General features: G+C 52.8%; 1 protein-coding gene and 1 long non-coding RNA gene across 8 annotated transcripts in view, besides 5 other annotated features; both read left to right on the forward strand.

Moving 5' to 3' along the window:
- The first annotated feature begins 1,592 nt into the window (after positions 1–1,592).
- On the forward strand, positions 1,593–8,882 carry LOC105376394 (uncharacterized). Its single transcript, XR_930635.3, has 3 exons — positions 1,593–1,698; positions 7,758–8,123; positions 8,491–8,882. It is a non-coding gene; the product is annotated as an uncharacterized LOC105376394 (long non-coding RNA).
- Positions 8,960–9,711: an enhancer, noted in NCBI's record as "H3K27ac-H3K4me1 hESC enhancer chr10:8084925-8085676 (GRCh37/hg19 assembly coordinates)". NCBI's record gives its function as "activates a minimal SCP1, AML or CMV promoter by ChIP-STARR-seq in naive H9 embryonic stem cells {active_cell/tissue: H9 hESC(naive)}" and the evidence as "EXISTENCE:reporter gene assay evidence [ECO:0000049][PMID:30033119]".
- Positions 9,712–10,463: an enhancer, noted in NCBI's record as "H3K27ac-H3K4me1 hESC enhancer chr10:8085677-8086428 (GRCh37/hg19 assembly coordinates)". NCBI's record gives its function as "activates a minimal SCP1, AML or CMV promoter by ChIP-STARR-seq in naive H9 embryonic stem cells {active_cell/tissue: H9 hESC(naive)}" and the evidence as "EXISTENCE:reporter gene assay evidence [ECO:0000049][PMID:30033119]".
- Positions 10,709–11,252: an enhancer, noted in NCBI's record as "H3K4me1 hESC enhancer chr10:8086674-8087217 (GRCh37/hg19 assembly coordinates)". NCBI's record gives its function as "activates a minimal SCP1, AML or CMV promoter by ChIP-STARR-seq in naive H9 embryonic stem cells {active_cell/tissue: H9 hESC(naive)}" and the evidence as "EXISTENCE:reporter gene assay evidence [ECO:0000049][PMID:30033119]".
- Positions 11,253–11,795: an enhancer, noted in NCBI's record as "H3K4me1 hESC enhancer chr10:8087218-8087760 (GRCh37/hg19 assembly coordinates)". NCBI's record gives its function as "activates a minimal SCP1, AML or CMV promoter by ChIP-STARR-seq in naive H9 embryonic stem cells {active_cell/tissue: H9 hESC(naive)}" and the evidence as "EXISTENCE:reporter gene assay evidence [ECO:0000049][PMID:30033119]".
- The window catches only part of GATA3 (GATA binding protein 3), a 29,866-nt gene continuing 25,700 nt past the window's right edge, over positions 11,331–15,496 (forward strand). For 6 of the 7 annotated variants that reach the window (NM_001441118.1, NM_001441117.1, NM_001441115.1 and 3 more), the window contains exon 1: positions 11,331–11,513. The gene's annotated coding sequence lies outside the window, so the exon portion shown is untranslated. Of the gene's footprint in view, positions 11,514–11,739; positions 11,940–15,496 lie in introns of all 7 variants that reach the window. The other variant, NM_001441116.1, reaches the window with a different exon arrangement.
- Positions 14,456–14,505: an enhancer, noted in NCBI's record as "active region_2983". NCBI's record gives its function as "activates an Ori minimal core promoter by ATAC-STARR-seq in GM12878 lymphoblastoid cells {active_cell/tissue: GM12878}" and the evidence as "EXISTENCE:reporter gene assay evidence [ECO:0000049][PMID:35858748]".

The raw sequence follows: 15,496 nt of genomic DNA on the forward strand, positions 1-15,496 counted from the left end.
GGGTTCCCACGCTCTTGGAGTAGGACCAGGATGGGATCGCCCTGGGCACGTGGTATCCCCTCCGCCTGCGGGGTCACGACAGCCTAGGCGACGGACAGTCCCGGGCTTAGGGAGGGAGGCTGATCCCGGGAGCTCTCAGGAGTCCTTCCACCTGCCACCTAGGAGCCCAGTTCGCATCTCTACAGCGCCACACATCTAGGCCAGCCCAGCTCCGGTCCCAGTCGGTCTCTGCGGAGCCCCAGCCAGCTCCGCGTCTTGGTCCTGGCTTGCGGGTGGCACACAGACAAGCGACCGGGGTGGCCCGGAGAGGTCGTGCCCCTGGCTGCGAGACGACGCGACAGCAGGGCGCTCCGGGGGCCGCAGCGGCGTCGAAGGCGGTCCCTGGGGGCGGGGCTCTGGCACGAGGGGGACCCTCCCGGGTCAAGTTCACAGAGGCGGAGGGGCCTGGGCTGCGCCCCAGAGCCCCAGGGGGTCCTCTGCTCCCATAAAAAACAAAGACGGGGGCGGCGGAGGGTGTGGAAGGAAAGAAATTGAAAAGGGAGTGCGGGCGACTGAGGGAAGCTGGAGGGGAAATAGGGGCCTCGGCCACCAGTGGCCTATGTCCATAACTGCCCTTTGGTTTTGGTGGCCTTGCAGGCCGGGAATCGAGTCTGCCATGTTCGCTTTCAGACGGGCCTCCTGGCAAGCTCTTGGTTGACTGTCCCCAGATGTTCCGGGAACCCACCCCTCCCCCACACCCTCCCGCCCCAACCCTCCGCAGAGAAGCCGAGGACCACATCCATCCGCTTCCTAGGAACCTGCCCGCACCAGCAGGCCCTGTTTCCTGGACAAACTGGGCAAAGAAACCTAAGAACCGCGCGATCCCGGCAGGTGGCTTTCTGCGGAGCCAGGGCTGCCAGCGCGGCCGGGCGGCGCCTCGGGACCCGGCCTGGCATCCGCGGGCGCCCGGGGAGGGCCTTGGCGTCGGCGGGGGTGGGGGTGGGCGGCAGATCCGAAGCAGGGTCGGGGAAAAACGGCGTTGCGGGAGGGTTGGGGGGTGGCCTCTGAGGAAGTGGGACAAAAGGCTTTATTTCAGAAGGTACGCCAGGAAAGGGGCGTGGGTCACCAAGTCCTGCGCAGCAGAGTTGGCGCGGCCTGGGAGCCGGGGTCCCTTCTGACCACAGACGTGGCCACCGCCTCTTCTCATCCCGAAGGTCCCAGCCATCCCGAGGTGGTCAGAGAAGACCCCGACGGGCGGATCGGGCAGTGGAGAGACCCGTGGTCCTCGCGCCTGCTGTGTCGCTGTGTCAATGACCGTGACACTCAGGGCAATCCTTACCAACACAGAGCAGGACAACGATACCCCGCACCCCCCCGTACAAGTGCAAACTAGTTTCTGTGTTGGGGGAAAAAAGCGAATAAAAGTTTAATAAACGTGTGCTGTGTTGTGGATGACTTTGTGACGACCTCTGTTGCAAATGGCCTATGCATGCGGAATAATGGTCTCCTTGCAGAGAGGGAAATAGCTTAGTGCTATCATCGTTGCCTCGGTAACCATCAGAGTCCCCATCTAGCAAGAGAGAAATGAGTTATGAAAAGGCTTGAGTGAAGAAGGGATTAACACATGATCCCAGGGACAGTGTGTCAATCAAAATCAACTGAGAAATTACACTGCTCTATTTGAGAATTTCTCCGGAACCCGCATGGTAGTGGAGTTGGGTGCGTATTTTTTTTCCTCTCTCTCTTTTTTTCATTTGAGAAAGACGGGGAAAGTATCATCGTGATTATTCTTCATGACTATCATTGAGAATTACACTGAGGGAGGGAAGGGATCACAAAAAGGAGGGGTATTTAAGGACACAGGAGTCCCCACCCCAGCCCAGCACGTCTGGGCACCTCGCTCTTGCGCCCGTCTCGGTCCCTCCCTGAGGTCCCTCCTGCCTCCCGGGGGGACCCCTGTTCCGCTGCCCGTCTCCTCCCCGGCACCCAACTGCGGGGCACGCGCCCGTTGCTCGGCCCTAAAGGGGCCTAGAGCTGCGCCCCGGGGGCGCGGAAGGTGCGGGGAGAGGGGGTGAGGAAGGACAGTGAGGGGCCGGTCCTGGGCCCGGAGGACTCAGCAGCCGCCTTGGCAGCAAATCCTGTAGGCTGTCCCCTGCCTTGGTTGTCTCGATGTTCCGCTCAGCGCTGGGGAAATAAATCGAACCTGGTGCACACCCCTCCCCCAGGTTGTAACACAACTGCCCCCCCAGCCAACACACACGCCCAAGCACGCAGACTTTGCACACGTGACATGGGGGTCTCAACAATAAAGAAAAAAAAGAAGACCTTACAGCGCGAAGAAGCGGGCTTTAGTTAATCGATTTCAAACACGCCTGTGGTGCGGCTCAGTGACCCCCTCCGCTCGGCTGAGTCCGCTTGGACTTCCGCTCCGGCGCTTGAGTCAGGAATTTTGACATAAACCTCAATCCGCTTCCCCCCCACCCACCCCAAGAGAGGGTCTCCCCCTTTTCCAGCCCCCCAAAAAGAGAGAGATGGTTCTCTTGGAAATACTTGAGAAGCACAAGACCCTGGAAGGGACGCAAAAGTACCTGGGTCTGCTGGAATAGGGGAAAGGGGGCCTCCCTGGGGGGTGACCCCGGGATAACCACTGGGTCCCATCTGCTGAGCACTGGGGTTCAGCTGGAGGTGGGGAAGCTCAGCGGCTCTCTCTGCCCGGGTTTCTGGCCAGCCCCCGAGGGCCAGGCTAGGGGTGGCACCAGGTGCCCGGGGTGACAGGGGTCGGGGCAGCAGAACCCGCACTCCCTATTTCCTGCCAAAGCCCACAGCCTGCTCTTTTTCCCAAAAGGAAGAGACCTCGCCATCTTCTTGTCCAATTCTCTCCATTAGCAGATGGGGAAACTGAAGCCTGGAGATGACGAAATTACTAACCACCCATTGACAGGGACGAGGTTAGAGCCCAATTTTCTAAACTTCGGTTGGGAAAATTGGTCCTATTTAAAAGACAGCAAAAAAAGTTTTAAGGAAACTTTTCTCAGACTGAGAGCCTTAAGTTTGCCCAGGGAGGGGCCAGGACTGGAGGAGGGGGCTGGCTTGGGGCTGAGGCCAGCTTAGCCTGGGCCCTCTTCTCCGGGTGTCCAGCGCTCCCCTCTGCCACTTTATTCATTCATTCATTTATTCCTTCGCCCTCCCTCCGACGCCTCCCCTTCCCCGAGGAGTCTCACACAGGTTTCCAGTCTTGAGGCCCCAATGGTTAACTCAATCGCCCTGACCCCGGCGCTATTTGATATTTGCCTCCTTGACACTCATTTAGGAGCTCGCAGCGGTAACGTAGACATTGGACAAGTCCAGCCTGAAACCGAAGCCTCTTGAAAGGGGGGAGACGGGGAGAACCTGATAGCTGGAAACTCGTTTTCTCCAAAGGCTTTCGGGACATTTTAGCCCGGCTCCGGGTCCGCGGAGCGCCAGGGCGCCGCCAGTGCGGGTGTAAACGTTAAATGTTAGCTATTTGTTCCAATGATTGGCATGAAAATCGACTCTTTCTTGTCTTCTTTTTTTCCTCCTTCTCCCTCTTTCCTTTCCTTTCTCCCTCTCCCCCTCCGGATTCCCACAAATACTAATCCAACCAGTGGCCCCTCCACTGCGCCTTCCCCTCCTACCAGGCGCCACCCAAGTCCGAAAAACTCCCGATCTGGAGAAAAATAAGAAAACAACAGTGACAATCCGGCCGGGGCCGGGGCCGCGGGGAAGGGGCAATGGGGGGAACCTCTTCTGGTTTTGCTCCACTCCTGGAGGCGACACCATTCATCTGCCACCTACTCGCTGCCTCCTCTTCTTCAGTTCCTTGTATCGTTTTTCTTTTTCTCTTCTCCTACTTTTTTTTGGGGGGGGGGGCGGGTGGGCGGTTATTTCTTTTAACTGGGCTAGAGAGAATGAAAAGTGTCCGTAACATATTAGGAATTCAGGAGTGCTGTGCTCTCTATTAACGAGAGACAAACAGATGAGCAGATAAGGTAGTCACCTGGTTTCAAAAGTTCCAGTTTCTGCTTAAAGGGAGCAAAGGACAGAGACGTCTCACTCAGAGCGTGGCAGTTATGCTGCTCCGGAAAGGGAGGCTGGTCCCGCAGTTGAGGCTGGCGACAAGCCCCACTTCCCACACCCTCATCTGTTCACTGTCCAGTCCCTGCTCCCAATCGCCCTTAACCCCACTCCCGCAGTCTCTAAATAATAACATGCTTATCCCAGTCTCTCTCATTCCAAAAGGCTGGTCCAGCCTCTCCCAGCCCCACTCCACCCTCCTTTTCATTTATCTTATTTGTTCTGTCATTCCCCATAGCTTCTTCCAATGTAACCTTTCCAAACTCTGATTAGTAGAAGCTTCATTCTCTTCACTCACGCTTTTCCCCCAAGCCCCCTCTCTCCCTTTCTCTCTCCTTCTTAAAAGATTTTGGAGCCGGGAAGATAAGATATGCAATCCTCTATCGGGAATCCTGTGATATTAAAGATCAAACGTAGCATCAATGGAAGACCAAATGCAGGGGGAAACAAAAGGGGGAGGCTGGGAGATGCTCATCAGCTAATTACAGCTGCAAATATTATGCAAATTTATCTTGGCACAGAAATGGAGAAAGCGAGTTTAAGTGCGGAGATAATGCCGGAAAATTGAATGTTCATCTGGGCATGGGAAACGGCCCAGTAGGCTCCATTGGTCTGTTTCATCTAGGGAAGCACCGTTTTTATGCTCCTATCAGATCATCCGCACTTCACTGGTTGGGGCTGAGAAATTAATATTACTTATAATTGATACTTGAAATTCTTGGAGCGATGTGTCATACAGAGACGGAAGAGAGGAATCGGGGAAAAGGGAGAGGGAAGGGGAGAAAAGAAGAGAGCGGAAGAAGAGGGAAGTCACACATTATTGAATATAGAATTGCAATCTGAAGTCTGAAGTCCACTGTGCTGAGGCCAGAACGAACTGGAAGACAAAGGAAAAAATATCCCAGAAAATCTGGGATATTTTCTGGGTCTCCCTCTACCACCACCTAAAACCTGAAATATCTTTCTGATCAAGATTCAAGCTTTAAAAAAAAAATAAATCGATAATTATTTGGCTGCCTACTTAGCTTGAGAGTGTAGGACAGGGTCAGGAGTTGAGATTTGAACTCAACTCATGAGTTACTTAAATGAGAAACCTAGGTTACCCCAGGGGAGGAAAACTGCGTGGCTGACGGGTGTGACCACTCCAGGCTGCTCTTTTGGACCCAAGCAGAGGGAAGGCAGGGTGCTTTGCTCTATGGAACCTCACCTCTGCCTCTGCCCTTACCAGACCCATTTCCTCCATCTTTACTGGCCCATTTCAACCTTCTTCAAACTACTCAAGAACTATCTGGGAAATGACACTCCCAGGAAATAAACTCCAGATCCTCACACTTCAGGAATAAATGTTCTTAAGTATAGGGAAGAAGGGAGACAACGGGAACTACAGTGAACAGAAAATAATTCTTAAAAAAAAAGTCCTCATCCCATCTCCCGGTACAAAATCTGCTGCAAGCTAGGGAAAGGTGGAGAATTTCAGACGAGAGCATTAGTCGGTGCAAGCCATCCAATTACCAGGAAATTATGATCTGACGTCAGGAGGAACAATTGGAGAACGAATATGTATGAATCTCCTCTCACTGTTTTGCATATTTGCAACGATTGTTTAATCCAAGCAACCAGAAAGTAATCAACAGGCACAAAAAGCTTAAAGAGCAAATTACCAATGACTCCTGCCCCTTCCACTTCCTGAAGCCGGGAGATTCTGGTGCTGTCAGTGGTTGGGAGGGGACTCCCCGTACAGCCTTGGATTCTGAAATCCATCCTGTAAGAGGCAGCCAGTAAAGCCTGTTGCGTTGAGGTGGCTTTTGTTCCTTCGGCGTTAGGGTAAAAGACAAAAGAAACAAAAATGCCAATTATTGGACTTAATTAACCATTAAATGAGATGTGTATCCTCTTCTCTCTAACTCAAAAATGGAGGGAAGTTGATGAGGTTAGGTGTGGGGTGGGGTCTAGGAGCACCCTCCCACCCTTGTGATCTAATTAGAGGAAACCTATGCATATTCCGCCAGTGTTAACAGACAAAGCCAGGATATATATATACATATATATATAACACACACACACACACACACACACACACACACACACATGCATACTTTTATAAAAAAGAGCAATAAACATGGAGAGGAACCAGGAATTGATTTTTTTTTTCTTGTTTACTTGGAATGGGGCTGGAGTGGGCAGCAGTTAGGGTGGGAGCTGTTGGGGGGGCGAGCTCTGGTGAGGAGAGAGAACATCTCAGAAAAATTAACATTATTGGTATCTTTCTATATAAAGATGCAAATGGCATTTTATTTTAACTTGGCCCTGTGCTTTAGTCAGTGTTTATGATTAATTATCTCCTTTTTCATAAAAATAAATCATGTTAAAAATTAGGATCTCCACGCTGGGGAGAAACTAAGCACTAGTTTCAGGTCGATCTTGTTAATTTCAGCCTGAAATTGACACACTAATTAAAGAGCAGCGTGGTAAAGCACGAGCAGGCAAGATTATACTCAGCTTTTTTTTTTTTTTTTTATCAGATCTACCTTATATTTTCCCAATTAAAAACTGCGAAAAGCAGTTTCATTGCCCCAGGATAAAAAATAAGGGCCCCCTTTTCACAACATGGGCCATCACTTTCTACCATCAGATTCATTGTGATGTATTAGATGCAATAAATTATCCCATGTAACAAAACATTGGGAGCTGAAAGGCAGATAATCTGGAAAGCAGAGATAAGGATTCATTATTCCAAATCATTATGAATCCAACGTTGCCTCTGACTTCTTTCTTAATCAGCTCCTCTGATCCTGGATATGTGAGCAGCACAGATAAGGAAAGAGTCGTTTATAATTCTCCACCTCGTCTAATATTTTAAAATAAAGTCAGAGGCAAGAAAACGCCATAAAACACTGGTGAGCAGGCAAGCGCCGAATGAAAAATCACTTCCATGTTATTATATCCACAGTAAGATTTAATTAAAATTCTCCACGTCCACGTGCTTTATTTTCAGATAGGATTTTTTCCCATCACGTAATAATTGATAGGAATTTGCAAACGGGGCTATTTATTTAGGGCGCCTGGGTGGAATAGGTCTGATTTTTTTTTTTAATTTTCAGTCATTGCTTTTGAAACTTTCATTTGCGATATCCATAGTTTCAGACCACCTAGGCCCCCATCACCCACCCGCCCCACCCGGGCTACAGTTCTTGGTCCCGGAAATGTAGTCGTAGTCATGGTCCTGAAAGGGAGTTTAACAAAAATGTTCTTTTATAAGAAGAAACAGAAAACTGGGTTGTTCCCATGTGATACCTCTTTTATGCCCTCTCAATTCCTACCCCCACGCATATTTATAATAAAATAAATCTCAATGAGTGGAGTTGGAAGATTAGAACTTTCAAACCCGGTGGTGTGTGTTGTTGTGTGGAGGAGTGCACTTTAAGGAACTAAACCAATCTGAGTATTTGTAGGAAGGTAGAACAATTGAAAAGGGAGGGTGACGCTGAACACTGATGGGCAGAAAGAAAAATATTATCTGTTTTAGGGAAAAGAAACAAGTTGTTGGAAACCTGGATGAATAAATATGTTGGTTCTGCAGCTCTACACAGAGCTACTCTATGTGGCCACACGTTCTTAGGAAGATTGGAGATTCTGCCACTGATTACCTCTTCCTACAGGATCTCTTTTTCTTTATCCAACAGGTGAACTTCATATCTATGTGGCCATCGTGGAGATCTGGACACACTGTTTCTATTATCTATCAGTCATTTACTGATCCATCTTCTACCTCCACATGTCCGGTGACTTCCCTTTATATTTAAAATCCAATCAAATGCCTTAGCTTCTAGAAACGTGGTCTCATAAAATTCTCAGGATGTACCACAGGATTGAAAGTGGCTGGTGCCGGTGCCAATTAGGATGAGGCGCTTGCCTTCAGGAAGAGTCCCAAAGCCAAGCTCTGACTCCAGGACCAGGGTTCTGGTCCGTCTCTCTAGCTGGTTCAGCTCTGAATCCACACCTGAGAAGCATGAACGCCCGCCCAGGGACAAAGGGCTACAAGGCTGGTGGTAGGTGCTTCAGGGAGGGTAAATGGAGCCAGAGAGGTCGGAAGCAGGGTGCAGCGTCATGGGGTGCGAGGAAGAGGTGACCAGCAGTGGGTGTTCGTGTCTGTGTGTGGCTGTGAGTGGGTCCGTGCCTGGGCTGGGACTCTAGGCATGCACCTCACTCAAAAACTTTTCAATGAAAAGATTCCCTCCCAGAAAGTCCTAAAACCTCGGAGCAAAGCCACCCCTGTCCCCTCAGGCATGTTAGGTTAGGGCGGGTTCTGAGCAACTGGGCTCCGTTGCTCCTTAGTGTGTAAGCTATAGACAGTTGTCCCTGTATACAGAATGTCATTTACTCTCTCTTCTCTTCTCGCCCTCTGTCACCCCCAAGTATATTTACATGCACAGAAACCGGAGCCATGAATCAGTGAGCCAGAGTGGTAGCTTTTAAAATTCAGGAAGCGAATTGGGGCTTCATTAAAGCAGTATCTTTGCCGTGTGCCTGGCCTGATGTCCACTCCTCAGAGATAAATCTTCAGCCCTACTGCCCAGGAAGTCCGACCAAGCTACTGACGGGAGGATTTTTCTCACTTTGCTTCCTTCTCAGAATAAATTATCTCCTTCCTCCCCCACTTCCTCCCCATCCTCAAACCTGCCCCAACTCTCCTGGAATACCTCGGCCTGATCAGCAGGATTTCCACCCCTAAGCCCATCAAGACAGCAAGAAATGTCCAGCTGGCAGCATTTGCCCCTGTCTGATCATTAAATTGGAAAACAGCTGTATTTTTATTAAGCCCTTTGGATTTTCTTTTTAAAACCTGAGTCTCTTTGGCAGTCAAATTTCCTTCCATCAAGGCATCTTCCCTTAAAGGTAGAATTGGGGTGATGGGGAGATGTGTGTAGGCCATCAGATTTCACAACCCCTCATCAAGGAGTCACTTTGGACCCGAGAAAAGCAAGTGCCCGCGTCAGCAGAAAAGGAACGAGGAGCGAGGCCGCCAGATCGACGGGAAACAGGCGGAGAGAGGGTCGTCGGCGCTCAGGGCCGGGGTGGCCCGGGGGACGGAGGAGAGATAGGAGAGCCCGCCCTGGGTCTCAGAGGGTGCTGTTGCGTGCTGCAGGTTCTAAGGGAAAAGGGCTTTCCCCTGGCAGGAGAGCCAAAGGCGGGGAAGGGAGAAGGAGGGGCGGGAGAATGAGGACCAGAAGCCGGAGAAGGGAGGCTGGAGGAAGACGCAAGTGGCCCCTCCGACCTAGTGGACGGCGAGTTGAGGTACAGTTAATGCCCGGGCCAAGGAGACAACTGTCGCCGCCTTGGTGACGGATGCCCCCTCCCTGGGCCCCCGCCCTAGTCCCCATGGGGGGAGCAGCGCGCCAGAAGGGAGTAGGCGTTGTTGGGACCCTCTGGGGGTCTGGAATGCCAGCGACACTTCTCTTCCCAGCCGCAGGGGCCTTCCTGGGACAGGCCAGGTAGACCCCACCCCCCCGACCCCGTTCGTCAGGGCAACAGGTTGGGTGCAAGCTGTCAAGAGATGGCCTTCTCCCTGGGTCCTCAAAACGCGCCAAGAACGTGGCTCTGCCACTTGGTGGCGGAAGGCGGGAGGCACAGGGCAGGAAGGTGGAGGAGGGGCTGCATTCGTGACGACGGGGGAGCAGAGAGGGAAGGACTTAGGGACTCCCCAGAGGGCAGACAGACCTGGCCAGCTTGGCAAATCATAAATCCCTCTCCCTGGACCCTCGGCCTAAACCTACCCCCAGGGTGTGCAGCGGAGGCGCACAGGGGTTGGCTGACGGGCTGGGGTGCGCCTGGGTGGAGGCTGGTTTGGGGTTCTGGCGTCTGGAGGCAGGCCATGGAACCAGAGGAGAGGGCAGGAGGGCCCACCGCGCAGAGCTGCGGCCCGGCTCCTAGAGTGGCGCCCCCAGCCTGGGCATCGCGCTCAACTGCTCTCTGAACCCCATGTCCACGAGGGTTCGCCCTCAAACCACCTCCACCTCTGTCCACACCCCAGTTCTCCCGACTCCAGGGACCAAGTGCCTCGGCCTCCCCGCCACGAAATGGCCACCCCCAAGCCCTTTGCCCCATGAAAATAGCAACTTCTTCCTACCCAACCGGTTGGAGCACAAGAAACTTCTTAACTTCCTGGCCCAGCCACAGACAAATTTTGTTTTATTTCTCCCCAAAGATTTATTTATTTTTAAAGTCAGTCTCCATATTCTTATTGTATAAATATTGTGAAGGGAAAACTCTACCTGTCAAAACAAATGGACTCTGGCCTTTCTACCCCAATGTTTATGGAGTTTCATTTTACTCTTGCCGAAATTTATTCATGACAGATTCTCTCTCCGTGGATTATTTTGATCTCCTCACCAGCAGGGGTAGGGATGGTACGGGAGAGAGGTGGTTTTGCAGGGAGGGCTGGAGTTTACATGGCCCTATGGGTGGCCCAGCGGGATCATTTTCTTTCTGACATTTTATCTCCAGCGCGACCTCTGATTCCTGCTTTCTTATCTCACTCTGCTAGAAGGCAGATTTTCCCTAGAAGTCTTCTTAAAAAGAATTGAGACCCCTAGAGAGTGCCCCCAACCTCTGGTATGTGTGCCCAAGGATACCCCATCTCCAAATATTCTTATGCCTACTCCGAGGAGGGTCAGAGGGTAGCAGCCCGTCACCCAGCATCCTGCACCTCCTAACTTTTACGGGGCAACTACGGCTCAGGAGAGATGAAAGTAGAATGGGGGCGTTTTGGAGGCATCAGCATAGACAGAAACAGGAGAAATAGTCGGAAGGGAGAGGGAGAGCCCTGGAGGGCAGAGACCCTAACTCCTTCGACCTGCTAATGGATGCCACTGGCCGGACCAAGACAGGCTCCCCCTGGGTCCCCAATGCTCCCAAAAGTGGAAGGAAAATGCCATGCATGGGTTTATGCCTATGGTAATGACCTAGTCAACACTTCTGATGACATGTATAGTGTTAATCCCAACCCTGCCAGAAGACAGCGGGCTGTGCAGGCGCCAGGGGCCGGTCACATTTCAGGCCGCCTTTCCCCACCCCCGCCAGATCTGTCAGTTTCACACACCCCTGATGTGCGGTTTGCCTGTTTGCAAAAGGGGGTGAAATTCATTCCCTCGCTGTTTCTCCTTCCCTCCCTCCCTTTCCCTCTTCGCAACCCGGAAGAGCTCCGCTCTCTACAGTGAGCAGGAGAAGGCGGAGGGGAGGGGGCTCCCAGGAAGAACGTACATCGCCCAGGTTTTACCTCTCGCTGGAAGCCCGCCTGAGATGCGGTGAGCAGTTCCAGCGGCCAGGACGGCAGCGGCGGCCACAGTGGCGAACTCTGCCTGTCATTTCTGCCTTCAGATCTCCGGGCGAGTCAGGAAAAAAAATAAAAAACAGCTGGCCCTCGGGAGCGAGCTGCCCAGGTCAGTGAATATCACTCTCTTCCCTCTCTAACTCCGCACTCCCTCTGCCCGCTCCACGTGGAGAGAATTAGGAGGAGGCCTCCTCTCCAAAGGGCAGACTCCCTCTGAAAGAAACTAAACTAGAACCCAGTTCTTATTGTTCTTTTTGGTCACTGGAAATCTCTGGGTTTCTGTGGTGACCTTGGGCGGGTACGGTGTGTGAGTGTGTGGATGTCCTCGTTTGCAGGAAAGAGCTGGTAGAAGTAGGGATGTGAAGAAAAACCCAACGGAAGAATGAGAGCCCGTGGGAATGCTTGGAAAGGGCCGGAGACACGTTTCCCACTGCAAGGAGGGCAGAGGATTGGGGAAAACAACCCCTGTGCCCAGGAGCCTTCTTCTAAAGGTGGCTTCAGTGTCAATTTCATGTTTATTTTCCTCTGTTTAAAGGTGTGTGTTGAGGCTCATTGTCTCTGCATATAATTAAAGAAACAGCTCTGCTCTGTAAGATAAAGTTGGAACCCAGATGTGTCTGCATCTGGCATACCCCCGGGAAGCTAGGGGTCCGGAGGCTTCTTTGCTTCCAGGAGCACCCTGAGGTGGGTGAGAAAACCGCAGCCTCCCCAGAGGGTGCCCAGGGGCATCCGAAGCGGAAGGGGCAGAGAGGACAAGATTTGGACTTAACTCCCGGGACAGCAGACCAACAGACCTCCAAAAAGTCACTCAGAGGCAGTTCCCCCCTGAAGACAGATATTGTTAAAATGTCAAGGAAGTGGAGTGAATCTGGGCAGGACAGCTGCTTTACATGCCTTTTCTTTCTCTCGGACACCAACAGGGTGCCTGAGGAAAGTGACACCGGTGATTCTGGCAAGGGCAGGGGGGAAAGTGCGGCATCTCCCTCGGCTTCGTTCCCATATTTCCTGGTCCTTCTCTCCTCCCTATTGTCCATGCTCACCAGGATGCTGGGGTCGCAGATGGGAGATTAAGAACTTTAAAGGGATCCATGTTGAAGTAGCATTTCCAAAGCCTCCTCTGCCTAGCGGCTGCTGCCGAGAAGGTAGTGGTAGTAGCAGTGGGTGGGCTGGGGGTCTAGCCAGGCAGGTTGAGTCCATCCAGGCATCTGTAAATGAGATGCTTGGGGGCCCAAATGGCTGGCAGTGTGTGTGTGTGTGTGTGTGTGTGTGTGTGTGTGTGTGTGTGTCAGGGGCTTACCATGACATGTTTGTGCCATTCAGAAGAACGGAATTGTTTTCTACCCATTTGAACCCAGTCGGGGCGTGGTGTCAGTTCAGACCAAGACCCCATTGGGTGTCGGGTCGCATAGGGGGTCTGATTATGGAGTCTTTCGGTGGGATCAAGCAGGAGGCCCTGCTTGCAGCTCCCAGCCAGCTGCCCCGTAAAGCCTTAAGTCCCTGGCCCAAGAAGCCGCAGGGCTTAGAAAATGCGGAGCGGCTGCAATCCACGGGCCCATCCTCCACTCTGCACAAGAGATCTCTGCCAGCCCCAGCACTGGGGCTATTCTGTCCCCACCAAAAGCAAGGAGATCTGGCAAGCTGCATTTTTCTTTATTTGACATTTACACCCTGCCTTCTTGCAGAAGATAAACGAGGTGGGGACAGTCAGGGGCGCAGAGAAGGGATGGGAGTGGGAAGCCCTGAGCATTGTTTGGTAGGGGTTTTCTTTTGGGTTGTCCAGTTGCCCTGGGTCACACAGAGTGCCTGGGGAACCGGCAGGTAGGTGGGAGCCAGGTGGCTGAAAACCCCTCTTCTGGAGGTTAAAGCAGTTTGCGTCCTGGAACCATAGGAGGTGGCAGGGAATTAGGGATCCTGATAAGGAGTGTGGGGCAGATCCCAAAACCACCTCTGTCCTCTAGCATTCGGTTATTTTTAACTATTTCTAGGCTGCACTGAAGTGATGTCTCATTCTTGGTGCCTAAGCCATTTTACACATAAATGTGCATTCTTCTCCTGGTATATCTTTGTGTGCAGACCAAATCTTTCCCATCACCTCTTTTTTACTTAACGGTTGGAATAACCAGAGAGAGGCTTTGTAGCCTCCAAGGGAGCAAACTGAGGAATCCCCCTTTTGCTTTGGCTGCTGGGCTGACCCGAGCTGGGGTGCAGAGGTGGGTGCGGCAGCGGGCAAGAAGCTGCTGCCCGAGGCGTCCCGGCTGAGGTCCACCGGGTATCCGTCGCTGCCGGTCTGCTGGCGTTAGTGAAGAACAGGCACATGCGTCTGGTTGCTGTTTTGTTTTATATAACAAATTGCTTAGGGTCCGCGAGGTGGAAGGCAGCCTAGAGCTGAGCTGCCCGGAGGGAGGGGCTGCGGGTAGGGGGCAGTCCGGGACCAAGGGAGGCCGGGAGAAGGGTGCGCATGCCAAACCTCCTCCTTTGCACCTCTGAGTCGGGCACAAACATGGATTTTTTTTTTCACCAGGTGGTCTCTAGCATGTCCAAAGGAAGACAAGAACGGTTTGTGCTTTTAAAAGCGCGCCTCTACTGTCTCCAAGATCTGAATGGAGTCCCCCTCCCCCTCTTTTCCTATCCGTGCTGTGAACACATCCCCTGCCAGAGTGTCCCGCTACAATCACACTCCAGCTCCTAGGCTAATCTAGATGAGTCAAAACACAATAGTCCCCAGATAAAGCCCTCCTTCTCCTCCTAAAAGGCCAAACTGAAGCAGACGGAGGAGACTCGGCTGAGGCCAGCGCTGGGGGTTGGGGCTGTGGTTGGCCAGGGGGCTCAGGAGCTGGGTGGCTGTGAGGATGTGGGTGACCAGGCCGGGGGAGTGGAGCAGGTGACTCCGACTGGCCAGACTGAACACCGCGTGCACCCCACCTCACCCGGCAATGCTAAGGCCTGGTGGGCCAAGCCTTGAAATGGGTGAATTTCTGCCAGGCTGGAGCCTTTCCTTGGTGCAGGGGCCGGAGTCCTGGGTGCTATAGCGGTGTGGCTGAGCGGCCCCCTGGGACGGAGGAGAGGTCGGGTCTAGAAGTAGCAAGCCCCTGGCTAGGAGTCACTGATGCCACTGGGGGCAGGGTAAGATGTCCAAAGCCCGGGAGACCCAGGGACGCCGGCTGGGCTGCCTCCACCCCTTCTTTTCCTCCCGTGGCACCCACCTGTCCCCCCACCTGCCAAGGCCAGGAGGGAGGGAGAGAGCTGAAAAGGGCACTTTTCCTCCAGGGTGACTCCAATTCCTTTCCACTCACCCTCAAGGCGAGTTCCTTCTCTCCCACCCAACCCGGGGCTCCCCCCAACTGCCACTCGCCTCACGTGTGAGTTGTTAAACCCGAAAGCAGAAATCCCCTGCCCTCTCCCTTCCTGTCTCCCCCTTTCCGCTGCACCCCTACCTACCCAATTTTTATCTCGCTACAATCAGGGGTTTTCTCAACCGGGGAAAAGGTGGTAGTGGCGGTGGGAGGGTCAGGATCCCTCGAAGTGGAGGCCGGGGCCGGGCTGGGGGCGGAGTGCGGGGGCGGGGGGAATCTCCCAGCGCATCTCCTCTTTTTTGACTCTCCCCACGGCTCGCGGCTCTCCTGGCCTGGGCGGGTTTCCTTCCGAGTTTTAAACGGTGATCGATGAATAAGCAAAACAAACAAACAAACAGAAAAAAAAAGAAAAAAGAAAAAGAAAAAAGAACTAAAGGAAGGAAAAGAAAAAAGGGTAAATCAAATCACATACCATCCCCAAAACGATAGCTCATTTCACGGGGAAGGTAGACTCCTGGCCCGGGGCGCGTGGGCGTGGGAGCCGCGAGGAGAGTTGCCCCTTGGACGCACCCGCCTCCATCATCTTCCCATTGCCAGTGAGTTTTAGGGTCCCTCTTTCTCTGCTTTCCCCCAAGTTCCCTGCTCTCTGGGTTTTGTTTGAAGAGAGCCAGCCTTGCTGGGCCGGGATCCTCAACCAGTATTGCCCACTGCCCGACTGCCTTTTCTTCCCGTTTAGGTCTTGCTCCCCGCTCTCCGCATTTCAGCTCGCAAGGGAAAGAAAACGGGGGCCCGAGTGGCA

The sequence above is a fragment of the Homo sapiens genome, chromosome 10, assembly GCF_000001405.40.
Source record: "Homo sapiens chromosome 10, GRCh38.p14 Primary Assembly".
Classification (NCBI taxonomy): Eukaryota; Metazoa; Chordata; class Mammalia; order Primates; family Hominidae; genus Homo; species Homo sapiens.